This window comes from Homo sapiens, chromosome 15, assembly GCF_000001405.40.
Source record: "Homo sapiens chromosome 15, GRCh38.p14 Primary Assembly".
NCBI lineage: Eukaryota > Metazoa > Chordata > Mammalia > Primates > Hominidae > Homo > Homo sapiens.
Window position 1 is genome coordinate 69,264,693 of NC_000015.10, and position 15,296 is coordinate 69,279,988.

Consider the following 15,296-nt stretch of genomic DNA (forward strand, 5'->3'; position numbering starts at 1 on the left):
GTACTTCTTATCTCTTCCCTTTTTTATGATAGTCATCCCAACAGGTGTAAGGTGATGATATATCATTGTGGTTTTGCTTTGCATTTATTTCCCTCGTGATTAATGATGTTGAGCACCTTTTTATATACCTTTTGGCCACTCGTGTCTTCTTTGAAAAAGTGTCTATTCAGATCATTTGCTTATTTTTTAATCAGATTTTTTTTTGCTATTTGTATAAGTTCCTGATAGATTTTGGATATTAACCTCTTATCAGATATATGTTTGTACATATTCTCTCCTATTCTATAGGTTGCTTTTCATTTTGTTGATTGTTTCCCTTGCTGTGCAAAAGCTTTTTAGTTTGATGTAGTCCCACTTGTTTTTCTGTGCCCCTTTTGCTTGTACATTTGATGTCAAATCTAAACAATCATTGCTAAGACCAATGTCAAAAGTATTCTTAAATGTTGATCATCCTTTATTGCCTAAAGTGCATATATATGTGTCACATATACCAAAAATAAACAGTTATAGTAACTACTGGGAATAACTGGTTAGGAGAGGATGGGTCATGGCTTTCAAACAATAAAAAAAAAACAAAACTTTCTATTAGATTTGAAGGAGGAATCTTCAGATAGCCTAGTACCTCCAGTAGAGCTCAGAACCTTACCTGGTACATTGCCAAACTGGTTTCCACCATCCCATTTGCTCCCATTCAGGTCCTCGTGAATGATGCCAGGAGGTTATTTAACGTCCTCTGTATATCTATAAAATGGGAATTAAATGATTTGTAAGATTGTTGTGAAGATTATAATTGTTGGTTGGTTAATTTAAATTGAGGATTGTGACTTCTGTCACTTCTCCTAGATGACTCAGTAACACCCTCTGCTGGTGTTAAGGTCTTAGGAAAATTAATACATTGGCTTTTTAAAAGGTTACATCCCTTGACATCGTTCATTACTGAGTTCTTTGGACTGGTTTGTCATATGAAGATATAAGGTGACTGATTAAACCATGTCATTTCATTAAATTTGTGTAAATAAAATTGTAATTCTGGGAGGAAATGGGTACTCTTCCAGCTTCCGAAATTCTGGGAGGAAATGGGTACTTTTCCAGCTTCCTCACACTTGGACTTCTAAAGATGGGTCATTGTTATCCAGTTTGGCCAGAATAGACGTCATAGTTAATAATCCCATCTGATGAGAATGAAAAAATAAGCACTCAAGATAGTCTGCTCCACTGAATATAATTTAATCTTGAGTGGTTCATAAGTCAGTTCAGAATCCTGCAGTGTTTCAGGGATGTTGTCCTGAACTTCAGATCCCATTTTACTATAGATGCAGAAAAATGCTAGTTAAGAGAGAGAGTACATGTTGACATTTTGCCAGATAAGATGGATTTTTTACTGTATTAGAAGTTTACTTCTGCAATCAGTTTTTCTATTAAGTTACTCAGAGCATTGTTTGATGCATAAGTCTATGAGGATGTTCTCATTCTTGATACAACTTTCAGAATTGTCTGTTCCATCCAATGAAGTAATTAAGAGCCTTGGGACAAATATAACCATACTGCTTGAGTCCAGTGTTGCAAGAGTTAAATGATCAACTCAGCATACTGACACCCTCCAAGTATACACTATCATCAGTTCACATTCCTTTTTCCCTTTCTTTTTTTTTTTAAGAGACAGAGTCTCATTCTGTCACCCAGAACAAGAGTGGTGTGATCATAGCTTACTTCAGCCTTAAACTCCTGGGCTCAAGCAGTCCTCCCACGTTGGCCTCCCAAGTACCTAGGACTACACATGCCACTGCACTTGGCTATTGTATTATATTTTTTGTAGAGTTAGGGTCTCGCTTTCTTGCCCAGACTGGTCTCAAGCTCCTCGCTTCAAGCAGTCCTCCTGCCTTGGCCTCCGAAACTGCTGAGTGTGACCAGTTGTGCCTGGCCCAGTTCACATTTCTGATCTTTGCTCCTGGTGACACACTAAAGATTTTTTCAAGGATTCTGCAAAGCATAGATCTGCTTCTATGGCTGCATCTAAGAGAACCTTTCTATTGAATATTCTCATAAGAATACCATCTCCAATATCATTTGTCTTTTTCACAGTCTGAACCTGAGTCCGGGAAACCTGGATTCTAGTCCCTGCTCTACAACTAATTAGCTTTTGGCATTGGGCAAACCATTTAACCTTGCAAAGCCTACATATCTTCACCTCTAAAATGGAGATGTAATATAATAATTCCTGCCCTACCAGCTTCAGAAGATTAAGTATCAAGTGAGATAATACATGTGAATGCGTTTTGGACATTTAAGCTGTGAAAAGATCAAGATAGGAAGATTTCCCTTTAATATTTTAAAATTTGTACTACGTATATTTTTGTTGTTCTTATTCTTGCTGCTGCTACTGCTATTTTAATATGCTCAGTTTCTTGGTAGATCTAGATGAGCAGTATTCAAAATGTCATCTTTCTGGGAATTAGCCATCATTAATACTATAAATATTCAAGAGAAATTTTCTCTTTAATAATTTGTCAAATAAAACAGCTTTAACTTTTTGACCTCTGAAGCCAGTGGCTTCGGAATAATAACCATCATTTATTACTATATTCCACTCCATTGTCTTTCTTAAAATCCTCACAATTACCCTGCAAAGTAATATTATCTCTATTTAACATGTGAAGAAACTGAGGCTCAAAGAGGTGCATCTTGCCAGACTTCTCAAAGCTAGTGGTTGAACAAAAATTCAAATCTGAGGTTTTTAAACTCCAAAGCCTGAGCTTTACCCTGTCACTCCACCATTCTCTCACTTTTTGTTGTACACATGAGCCCATTGCTTAATTTCCAGAAATTTTATTAGCACTTCTAGCAAGTATGTGAAAACAAATCTATCATTTTCAAAATCAAATTAATAATGTGTTGTGGAGCGAGACCAGGCAACCTGGGTTCAAGTCTTGTACCTTGGGCAAGTTACTTCTTTGTGTCTCAGTTCCTCATCCATAAAGTAATAGTAATAGCACCTACCCTTGTAATTGTTCAGGGGATTAAATGAATAAATAGGTGTAAAGCCCTTAGAACATAGTAAGTACATATTAAATGTTAAATAGTTTAAAATTCATGTATAACCATTTTTTCTAGCCTCTTTCTTGCAATATTATGTGCTGAGCCAGGTTTTGGCTTTTTTTTTTTTTTCTGTTTGCAGAATGGGTATAGTAGAATAGTCATTGATTACTGATCAGCTAGTACTAGATTTAGGAAAGGCAGTTTTGATCAACAATACCTTAGCCATTTGCTCTCAATCCTCTGCTAGAACCTAGACAGGGCAAAAGGTAAGAGCTTTGGCCTGATGCTCACAAGCCATCGTGAACTCACCAATTCTGTCATTTGTTTTTGTTTAATTTAATAAAAAATAAAATTACAAATGATCTGATACTAAAAATATGTAAGTGTTAATTTTGTGCGGTCAGGGTTTTCAAGGATGAATTGCAATTCAATTTCAAATACAAAAGTGCTTTTATTCTAACCAGTCTTTGTTGGTATATTCTCCCCTACAGAAACCAGTGAAGGTGTATCCTTGCAACTGGGAAACACAAAAGATTTTATTATTTCATTTGACCTCAAGTTCTTGACAAATGGAAGTGTGTCCGTGGTTCTAGAGACCACAGAAAAGAATCAGCTCTTCACTATACATTATGTCTCAAATGCTCAGCTAATTGCTTTTAAAGAAAGAGATATATACTATGGCATTGGGCCCAGAACTTCATGGAGCACAGTTACCAGGGACCTGGTCACTGACCTCAGGAAAGGAGTGGGTCTTTCAAACACAAAAGCTGTCAAGCCAACCAAAATAATGCCCAAGAAGGTGGTTAGGTTGATTGCAAAAGGTAAGGGATTCCTCGACAACATTACCATCTCTACCACAGCCCACATGGCTGCATTTTTTGCTGCTAGTGATTGGCTAGTAAGGAACCAGGATGAGAAAGGTGGCTGGCCAATTATGGTGACCCGTAAGTTAGGGGAAGGGTTCAAGTCTTTAGAGCCAGGATGGTATTCTGCCATGGCCCAAGGGCAAGCCATTTCTACATTAGTCAGGGCCTATCTGTTAACAAAAGACCATATATTCCTCAATTCAGCTTTAAGGGCAACAGCCCCTTATAAGTTTCTATCTGAGCAGCATGGAGTTAAAGCTGTGTTTATGAATAAACATGACTGGTATGAAGAATATCCAACCACACCTAGCTCTTTTGTTTTAAATGGCTTTATGTATTCTTTAATTGGGCTGTATGACTTAAAAGAAACTGCAGGGGAAAAACTCGGAAAAGAAGCAAGGTCCTTGTATGAGCGTGGCATGGAATCTCTTAAAGCCATGCTGCCCTTGTATGACACTGGCTCAGGAACCATCTATGACCTCCGTCACTTCATGCTTGGCATCGCTCCTAACCTGGCTCGCTGGGACTATCATACCACCCACATCAATCAGTTGCAGCTACTCAGTACCATTGATGAGTCCCCAGTCTTCAAAGAATTTGTCAAGAGGTGGAAAAGCTACCTTAAAGGCAGCAGGGCAAAGCACAACTAGAGCTCACAACCAAAACTGCACTTCAGCCTCTGCTGTACACAGAAACTACAGGCTCTGTCTCAGGAGAGCATAGGCACATTTTAAAAGGTTATGTACTAGGTTTTTGTGGATTCTATCAAAGTGATAAGTGATCCTTAAAACCAGCCTTCTAAAATAATTGCATTCCATGGGTTGGGTATTTAGAAATGTAGGTGGCATTTAGAACACAATGTTTAATCAATGGGCTGAACAAAGATGCTTCACTTTGCCTTGCCCATCACCCTATACAGTTTCGCAGATAGTCTAGTCACTCTATGTGAGAAAGATAATGGTAAGTAGTTGCTACTGGCCAACTGTCTAGCACTTACCTGAAAACTTAGTATGGAGCTCTTTTAAAATGTGATTATTTATATTTATGTTGAAAGCGGACTTTAAAAAAAATAATGTGCTGTAACACAGTAAATATGTACTTGTAGCCTGGATAGCAGACTGTGTTCAACTTTTTAAAAAGATGTTTCCTTTCTAAAGATTAATTTCTTGGGAGCAAATGAGTATTTGTTGCATTTGTTCAATTTGTTGTATATGGTGAATATTTAATTATGGTTTTCTTGAAACGTGTAAATTAAAAACACAATCAGTGTTCAGGCTTCAGTTATATAATGTAAGCACAACTAAAATGAAACTTGTTGACTGCACAAGAAATTACAAAAATGTTTCTGTTTTGAAACTTGATCTACAATCAGTAAAAGTTTGATAATCAGTATATCCCTTCCCAACCCCCATTGTGACAGTTTCTTTTTGTCACTGTCTAGAATTTTGTATTTTATTTCAGACTATACCTTGGAGTTTTGTATATTTTGAGAGAGATATTTTTGGGACATTATTTTGGAAACTTATTACAAATCTAAATTTGGAAAGGAGCTAGTAGCTTTAAGGCCACCACCATATTTTACTTTTTTAGGATTTTTCCCCCTTTAAATAAAAATATTAGATCAAATACTATATGCAAGAAATCATAGCAAAGTTTTTTTTTCCTACCAAGATCATTCTTGATCATCAGCTTCCCAAACTAGTAAGTCTGTGCATCATTGGGTGTTTTTTTTTAATTTAATTTTAAATTATCCCAGCTATTAGATAGAAGGGATGTTACTGCACTTATGTGTAATCAGATCTTTATTTAGGTATACATATCCTCCTATACCGCACATAAATAGATTTCAGAGCCCCCATACAATGGGCAGTGTCTGCTATAGGGCTTCAGGCATTAAATAAAACCGAGGGTTGTTGATTTTGCTGTGACAGTACACTAAATCAATACTATATCTTATACAGTTTGAAAATATGATACCCTACACTTTCAGGGGACCGAGTCTGACAAACACAATACATTTATCTGTGACCTATATCAAGTACACATTTAGGAGCCAGGTAGGTTACCTGCTTACACACTATATTTTAATTGAATTCAAACTATCAAGCACTACTTAGAAACTGGAAAACATATATATGTTAGCATCAAAGGGGGCAGAAGCAAAGAAGATACAGATCTGCACTGAAGACATTAGACTGGCCATAGAAAAGTAAGCTTGAACTCCCAATTGATGTGACCACACTCTTCTTAATTTTGTTCACAGTAAAAACACTTTTTTGAGTTATTAGGCTTACCCCTAGCTTTTGACCTTTGCATTTCATATATGTTAGATGTCTCAGCAAGAATATCTGGTCTCCCCTAATTTTTATTCCCAGTGCCGATGTTCAAAATAAACTTTCTCCAGTCTGGGAACCTTTTTTACTTCCCCATATTTGTTATTATTTAGAATGGTTCATACGTCTGCTTTGTTTGCATACTGGTCTTCAGATTATGAGACTCGATGATAACAGTATGGTACTGCTTCTGTGACAAATATCGTGCCTTAACAATGTGGCTGTCCTTTTCCACTGAAGAAGGAAAGACGTTTTGATCTAGAAATAGCGTTGTGATTTCCTTGCTGTTGGTTTTACACTGCCTTCCACATTGCAACAGCAAGTTGATTTCTTGTGATCCCAGAATTTTCTAAGAGGATGAGTTGAATCTATAGCAGCATTGTCAGTACAGACCAGTGGTTCTCAAACTTTAAAATGCCTCAGCATCACTTGGGAGCTTATTGAAATGCAGATCCCAGAGTCAGTAAATCTGCCTGTGAAGTATGATAGTCTGCATTTGTAATGAGCATTCAAGTGATTCTGATGCAGGTGAGCTGGGGGCATACAGGGAGGAACACTGCCCTGGACTATCCATTGCATTTTTGCCTCTAAACAACTACAGAATTTTCTAGGGTTTTAAATTATGTAAAATGTTTACTTATTCTGAGCTTAGAGAGAATGGGGAGGGTATTTTTAAATTTTATTGTTTTATTTCTTTAAGTTTTTCTTTGCTTTAAGATTATAGGTATTAGGTTTGTTTTTGTTTTTCCACTTATCTTGAGTTCACTTTGATGTTAAATCTATTGCTACTTCAGTTGTAAAACCAGCCAAAAGTTTCTGGATGAAGGTCAAGTTTGACCTTTTAGGAGTTATTGTACATAAAGGCTTCATCCACGAACCATCCAGCGCACAGAAGCAAGTGCAAAAATGACACAAGCACAACTCTCCAGACGTGGCTCCTTCTCCTTTCTCAGTGCAGACTCTCACTGAAAGCTGCTATTTTCATCCTCCTTGTGGTTGCTTTTCTTGTTTCTCTTCCATTGTACATGTGGGTTATATACCATATGTTAAATATGCAATAAAGTGTTTACAGGATGCCCTTCTGAAGGGTAGTCCTTTGTAAAGCTGTACAGACTTTGCAGTTTAAGCACAATGTGCACATGTTAGTTTTATATACAGCAAAACTTGATTTTTTGCAGATGGAAAGGTATTTTGTTTCTATACAAAGTAAATGGATTGTTTGTGCTTAATGTAAAGCCGCTTTATAAAACTGTAAAATAAAGTTTTTTTCTTAAAAAGAATATACCTGGATATTTCTCTTTCTTCTCAAATTATTCTAAGGTTATTTGAGCCCAGCAAGCAGATTTCTGACCATTTCCTGTTCAACCCGTGACCAGAAGTCAGGCAACAAATGTTGTTCATCAAAGGCATACCAAGCCCTGTCAGACAATGTGTGGGAACAAAGAGTATGCATGGGCTTTAATCCTAAGGACCCTTAGTCTTCAAGGGGGAGCACAATGTATACTAAAAACTCGAAGAAAAATAAAATGCTAAATTGTGTACTCAGGGAAGGTGTTAGGGAAGAGACAGAGCCTAAGCTGGTGTTCCAGGGGTGGAGTCCAGGTGGAAGAAGAGGAGGGAGTAACCTGAGCAAAAACAGGTGTCCATGCCAGGTGAGAGGATGGCCTTTCCCATGCTCATTCAGACTGGGTAACCATTTTTTATTTAGATTTATTTGAGAGTTTGTCCCTCATATATTTTCTCTACTTGCCTCTTCAGAACAATTAGCATTATTTAATGTTTACCCCCTTCTCAAAGAATAATGATTTAACCTCCCAAACAGACAAAACCAGAGACCAGAGTCTTGCTTCATGTTATGTTTCATTGCACAGTATTTTTTGGATTATAAACATTCTGCACCATTTGTGTAATGGAATTACAATTGATCACGAATCAACTTTTTCCAGCTGATGGGTGCACAGATTTTGACAGGCTACTAATCAACATTCTTGGCAGCTTTTCCTTCCCCACCGTCTTCAGTTGGGAAATGGCCATAAGGTTGCAAGAAGTCTTGGGCTGAATGAGCTCTCCAGCTGCTCTTGCTTTGATTTTGCTGCTTGTAGCCAAACTGTTAATACGTTGGCTGTTCTGCCTTAGCACACTGAGCATCTCATATTCATCTCCCCATTGCCCTTGAGTGGGGTGGGCCCTCCATACTCCAGAGAACTTACTTGGCAGTCTGATGAGTGCTCCTTCCCTTCATAGCCACAGGCTCTGGCGGCCACTGTATGCCATGTGACCCTGCCTTCTCTGGCCATGACTTAGACGAGGGGCGAATCCCCCTCACTCAAGCTGGCCGACCAATCAGTCTTTTCCCCAGGAATTCAAAATGGGATGGATTAAAAAACTAAAGCAGAAATACAGTGAAAAGCGGAGATGAGAAACAGAAGACAATGCTCCAGGCCCTGGATCCAATGCCCTTCTGAGGCCAGCTGTATTCCTCTCAGGTTCCGCGAGGTACCACTGTATCCTTAGGATAAATTCTTTTTTTTTTTTTTTTTTTTTTTTTTTTTTTTTTGAGACGGAGTCTCGCTCTGTCGCCCAGGCCGGACTGCGGACTGCAGTGGCGCAATCTCGGCTCACTGCAAGCTCCACTTCCCGGGTTCACGCCATTCTCCTGCCTCAGCCTCCCGAGTAGCTGGGACTACAGGCGCCCGCCACCGCGCCCGGCTAATTTTTTTTGTATTTTTAGTAGAGACGGGGTTTCACCGTTTTAGCCGGGATGGTCTCGATCTCCTGACCTCGTGATCCGCCCGCCTCGGCCTCCCAAAGTGCTGGGATTACAGGCGTGAGCCACCGCGCCCGGCTGGATAAATTCTTAACATTTGCTGAAGTTGGCTGGATTTAGTTTCTGTTACTTGCAACAAATGAGCCCTAATTAATAATGTATCTCCATTATAGAGGAAAATACGTGTAAATACAGTGTAAATTCTGCATTTTCCTCCAATCTGGACCCTGTTGTATTAGCTTGCTAGAGCTGCTCTAACGAATACCACAGACCGGGTGGCTTACACAAGAAATTTATTATTCTCACAATTCTGGAGGCTTGAAGTCCAAGATTAAGATGTTGGTAGGTTTGGTTTCTTCCAAGACCTCTCACCATGTCTTGCAGATGGTGCCTTCTTGCTGTATCCTCAAGGCTGTCTCTCCAACTGTGCTCTCTGTGTCTAGGGCCCACTCATGTGACCTCATTTTACCTTAATTACCTCTTTGAAGGCCTGTCTCTAAATGCAGTCACGTTCTGAGATGCCGGGGAGTTAGGACTTAACGTGTGAGTGGTGAGGGGCACACAATTCAGCCAGTAGCAACCACTCAAAGGGTTGCCATTTAATTCGATGATAATCATTGAAGGACAAAACTGAAATCTGTAGGGAACATTAGTTGGGCAGAAATCTAGACTTGGTACTCAGAATACAGGGCTCCCTGGCTCAGCCATTAGAGCATCAAGAATTTACTCAGGCCAGGTCCGGTGTCTCACGCCTGTAATCCCAGCACTTTGGGAGGCCGAAGTGGGCAGATCACCTGAGGTCAGGAGTTCAAGACCAGCCTGGGCAACACGGCGAAACCCCGTCTCTACGAAAAATACAAAATTTAGCCAGGCATGGTGGTGCGCACCTATAATCCCAGCTACTCAGGAGGGTGAGCCAGGAGAATCACTTGAACCCTGCAGGGAGAGGTTGCAGTGAGCTGAGATCATGCCACTGCACTCCAGCCTGGGTGACAGAGTGAGACTCCGTCTCAATAAAAGAAGAATTTACTCTTTCACCCCATAGACTTCAGTTGCCTCATGGTACAATCCAATAAATAGAGAACTCTGCTCTCAAAGTTTGTAATAAACTAACAAAAGGTAACCACTAAATTTAAGCAGTGGTAAAAACAACAACAACTTCTAGGTTTTTATTCTTCTTACCTGTATGCCTTTTTCATTAGCTCATTCGGAATGCAGAACTCTGGGGTACTGGGAGCGGGTTGGTGGGAAGTATAGACAGAGTATATAAAAGTGCAAGTAGTGGTGAGATTTTGTTTAATGATAATTTTTTAATCCCAAGTCTGCACTATCGTAACTTACAAATAACAATATAGGGATAAAGTATTGATTTTCATTATACCAGCTCATTAAGGATGTCAAACTGAAAATGGATGTGAATGTAAATGTTGTATTGGTGATGAATTTGAATGTTTGCTGCTCAATTTCTGGTGAAAAGAGATACATTTACCATCTGGTAAGAATGATTGATAACTTGCATGCGTATGCTGCATTTCCTGAATGTTAAGTAGCAGCAACACTGTGTAATTTTGCTAATCCTTTTCTAGGAGGATTTCACAAAATGACAGGACTGCAAAGCAAGCCATCAAAGAGCAGTAGCAAAGAGAACAGCAAAAGGGGCGGAAAAAAAGTCCTGTGAAGGACCAGAAATAGAGCAGTGGACAACTGGTATTAAATACACAGTTTAGATAAGATGTTCTTAAGCAACGCAAAGCTCATTGCATCTAAGCTTAACGTCAGAAGAGCTGGTGTCTCCCTGGGAGTTTGCTCTGTTCTGTCAGCACCTAGTGAAATCACTGAGATAAGAATGGCTGCTCCATTTCAGTTCAGAAAATCTAGTAAAGAGAGTTCATCTCTCTGGGGACTACAGAAGGAAGTAAATCTCTGAAGTGGGGTGAGGAAGAGGTCTTGTTTTTAAGCAAACATATAGCAAAGATGCATGATCTTAATTTAATGCCTGTTATTCTGTCATCTTTCCTTTTTAACACCAATGAAGTTAAGTTTCTGCAATTCAGTTGAATACAGTGGGAGGCCCCAAACAGATTCCTATCAATGGCGTGGCAAGGTAGTCTTAGGGAAAGTGTCTGTCTATCTTCTCAGCTACTGCAGGCAACAGAAAGAGGCACTCTCTTCATCTGAAAATATCCATCAGAAGAAATTACCTAGGCAACTTCTTGTGAGCTTGAATTAGTAGGTTTCAGTGTCTGGGGTACTGGAAACCATGGTCCTGGGTTAGTGTTTCTTGCTAATGAGCATTTAGGAATAGGAAGAGGAAACAGGCACCATTACAGGTGCTCCTCAAACTAACTCTCATTAACTGCTCACCATGACTCTGGAAGCCCGACTCCTGGTAGGTGAGAAAAAGAAACACTGCTGCCTAGTGTTCCATTATCGGAATGCTAAGCATGTGGGAGTTATTTACATCCTACTGCTCAAGGTCATCGCCAAGGTCTGATTTTTCATTCGTGCAAAAATTCAAAAAATTGTAACCCCTGGCATAAATGGGTTAAGGAGCTTGCTGAAGTTCGTGCAGTTCTTTTCACTACGTATTTATTGAACACCTTCCTACTGATTGTGCTACCTGCCAAAAGCAAAGATGAGACCTGTCCCTGTCATGAGTCATAACTAGTTAACATAAATAACTGAGTCCACAGCTGACTGGCCTGGAGTGCTCTTCCCTGGGGTAAGCTTTGGATGGCCTTTCCTTTCCAAAATCACAGGCAGAGCAGTGGGGCCAACACGAAGAGCCAGAGTGTCTAAGCTCCCACAGTGGGTCGGGCTCTTGCTAGAAGACTCCACGGGTGTTCTTTCTAATCCTTTTGACAACCTTGGGAGGAAGTCTGTGAACTTCACGGATGAAAAAACAAACTTGGAGAAGTTAACAACTTGCCAGAAACCATTTAGCTATTTGATAAACAAGGTCTCAAGCCCAGGTATGTCTGACTCCAAATTCCATGTTCTGACCCATCGTCCCCAGGCAATAACTATAATCCACTATCTCCTGACTCCACCGTCTACACAGTGGGCTCAACCAGGGAGGCAGATCTCAGCCCCAGAGCTCTCCTACATTCGCCAGGTAAGATAATTAGTCCATTTCATCTGTGGACTCTATATCAGATCTGCTGAAATTGGTATTTGCTCCACTAAATGGTTAGAAAAGCCCAAAAGCAGAGACAGGAAGTTTTTTCAGCAATTGAGTCTCTTAGCATGTGCCTCCATTTCTTCAACTTCCATTGATGTTATTTTTTGAATAACCCAACATAAAAACCCCTCTAGCCTCTCTCCAGCCCTCTCCTGCTATTTGCTCTCTTCCCTAGTGGACTTTCAAAAAGCTGCCTCTATTACAAATTAAAATGTACACAGCGTGTGTTTAATACGTGCAAATACGCGCACACACACACACACAAGTGAATACACAGATGCACAGCAAACAGCCTGCACTGTGCTGGCTGCAAGGGATGCAGTGATGAGTGAGATGAAGTCTCTGCCTTCTGTGAGTCCATGAAGTGACAGCTTTGGGAGGTACACAATTTTATTCTTTGCTGTGAAAAATGAAACCGTTTAAAATTTTTCAAATTCCAAATTAGAGTTTGAATTAATGAGATTCTAAAGAACCTTCCTACGTTATACTTTTTAGCTCATTTCATGAAAATAATGACATATTTTATCCTCAGAATGGCCCTAAGAGACTGGCCGAGTGGGCACCTCCTCTCAGTGGCGGAGCAGCGGTGTGTGTGTGAGGACTGTGTGGGGTCAACGTCCTGGTGACGGAGCTGGAGTAAAACCCTGGTCTGTAGACTCGCAGTTGGATTCTCTTCATCTTGGTGCCTTCACATCTATGGGAATCTGGAAAAGAGCTTCCCGGTGTGCACTTAGGCAGGGCCATGTCTTGTCTCCTTTGGCCCTAGGCTTGGCATGAAAGGAGAGGGGAAATGGGGCCATTCTCTTGTGTTTCTGTTTCTCCTCGGCTGTCAGCACTTCTCTGTCTCATTATGTCTGAGCTCTCACCAACAGGAACCCACCCAAAGGCCTGTCTACATGTTGCCTGGTTGTCTTATTTAAAGCTGTATTTTAATTTTTAAAAATACATTTTTTGTGGGGTGTGATGGCTAATGCCTGTAATCCCAGCACTTTGGGAGGCCGAGGTGGGTGGATCACTTGAGGTCAGGGGTTCGAGAACAGCCTGGCCAACATGGCAAAACCCCATCTCTACTAAAAATAGAAAAATTAGCCAGGTATGGTGACGCAGCCTGTAATCCCAGCTGCTCGGGAGGCTGAGGCAGGAGAATTGCTTGAACTTGGGAGGCGGGGCCCCTGCACTCCAGCCTGGGTGACGGAGTGAGACTGTGTCTCAAAAAAAAAAAAAAAAAAAAAGTATAGAAAATCAGATTTGACAATAGAACCAGCACACAGATGCTTCCCAAGTAGCTGGGACTACAGGCATGTGCCATCATGCCCAGCTAATTTTTGTATTTTTAGTAGAGACAGGGTTTCACCATGTTGGCCAGGCTGGTCTCGAACTCCTGACCTCAAGTGATCCACCCACATCAGCCTCCCAAAGTGCTAAGATTACAGGCATGAGCCACCACACCTGACCAAAAATATTCCATCTTAAGGTGCCAATTACTTCATAAACTTTAAGATAGTTATGTTTTATTCCTGGGGAATACCCCTGAGTGCCACCCTGCGATTCGCGCTCGAGTAGCTGTGAGAAAAGCCGCTTCGTGTCGGGGGTCGACTGTTCCCTGCTGGCCAGCTGTGGGTGTGGAGCCAGTGACTTTGCCTCTTCACATCTTGGTGACTCCGTGGCTGTGTGGACACAGGATTGCAGGGGCAGGAGTGGAAGCAAGAAGCCTCCTAAGGAGATGGATGCTGGAGCTGTGGTGAGAGGGAAGGGGGGCCAGGGCTGAGAAGGGGTGGAGAGAGGTGGGTTGACTAGGACACATGGCAGAGCCGGTGCGCTGGCTGTATGGAGTGAGGACTAATGGGGAATCAAGGACGTCCAGCTGTGGATGGCAGAAGGGCCACTGTCTGAAGTGGGAAGTCTGGACATTCCCAAAGGAGTCTTTGAAAGACTGGGTCTTCTCCTGAGCCTGAGAGCAGTGCTTCTTCCAATGGCACTGCTTCCATTTTAAGGTATGTGGAGGAAACAGGATTTGGGGTGTGTGTGTGTGTGTGTGTGTGTGTGTGTGTGTGTGTGACATTTCGGATGCCACTTTGTTTGCCAATGGGATTTCTGCCCCTGCCTCCCTCCCTGCAAGCCTGTGTCCATGTAGCCAGCAGAGTCATTGTTTTGGAAAATAACATCAGCTGTTCAAAACTCTCCAATAGCTTCCCAATACCTGAAAATGGAATTGAAATTCCTCAGCAGGTCTGCAAGGCCCTCAGTGAGCTGTCCCCTGCCCCTACCCTCCCTCATTCTCAGCCTCCTCAATCCACCACTGGGCTCCCTCAGAGGGCTTCATGGACTGCCACGCTCCTCCTGCCTGGCACCCTGGCTCTCGAGTTTTCATGGGGCTGGCTGCTTCTCCTCACTCAGTCATCAGCTCCAATGTCAACTCCTTGGTGTGGCCATCTCTGCCCAGCCAGCCAAGGCGGACACCCAGGTGCTCCTTATCATAATACCTTGCTGTAAGGACCTGTTCCCGTGCAGGTTTACCTGCACACTGCCTCTCTTCCCCCACTGGAATGTGACCTTCTTGAAGACAGGGGCTTGACTCCTTTGTCTCCATCTCATACCCAGCATCTTAGCACAGGCCCTGGCACATCAATAGATATTGGTTGGTTAACTGGATGGATGGGTGGATGGATGGATGGGGGAATGGATGGATGGATGGATGAAAGATCCCACAGAATGGAGAGGGGGCTGGGGGCTAGAGTTCTCCTCACAACACTTTGACCATGTTCTTTACATTCTCCAGCATCAGCATGGCCCGGGAGCTTGTTGGAATGAAGAATCTCCAGCTCCACCCGAAACCTGCTGAATCAGAACCAGCATTTAACACGTCACCAGGATCCCAGGTAACTGCTGTGCACGGTGAAGTTTAAGAAGCTCTTCTAGAGCACTGACTGTCAAACTTGCCTGCACACTGGAATCACCTGGGGAGTTCTAAAAGTCACCGATGCAGGCGGGGAACGTTGACAATGAGGGAGGCTGTGCACATGTGGGGGCAGAGGATATGTGGGAGATCTCTGTGCCTTCCTCAATTTTGCTATGAACCTACAACTACTCTAAAAATTAAAGCCTTTAAAAAA

At 41.6% G+C, this 15,296-nt stretch overlaps 1 protein-coding gene across 11 annotated transcripts in view, besides 1 other annotated feature; it reads left to right on the forward strand.

The window, feature by feature from the left end:
* GLCE (glucuronic acid epimerase) overlaps positions 1–7,515 on the forward strand; it is a 111,573-nt gene extending 104,058 nt beyond the window's left edge. For 8 of the 11 annotated variants that reach the window (NM_001324093.2, NM_001324094.2, XM_047432377.1 and 5 more), the window contains one exon: positions 3,528–7,515. In NM_001324093.2, the coding sequence (NP_001311022.1) occupies positions 3,528–4,552 (1,025 nt within the window). In that variant the 3' untranslated portion in view covers positions 4,553–7,515. Of the gene's footprint in view, positions 1–2,082; positions 2,947–3,527 lie in introns of those variants that run through there. The other 3 variants (XM_047432380.1, NM_001324091.2, XM_017022074.3) reach the window with 1 other exon arrangement.
* Positions 7,415–7,972: an enhancer, noted in NCBI's record as "OCT4-NANOG hESC enhancer chr15:69564446-69565003 (GRCh37/hg19 assembly coordinates)". NCBI's record gives its function as "activates a minimal SCP1, AML or CMV promoter by ChIP-STARR-seq in primed H9 embryonic stem cells {active_cell/tissue: H9 hESC(primed)}" and the evidence as "EXISTENCE:reporter gene assay evidence [ECO:0000049][PMID:30033119]".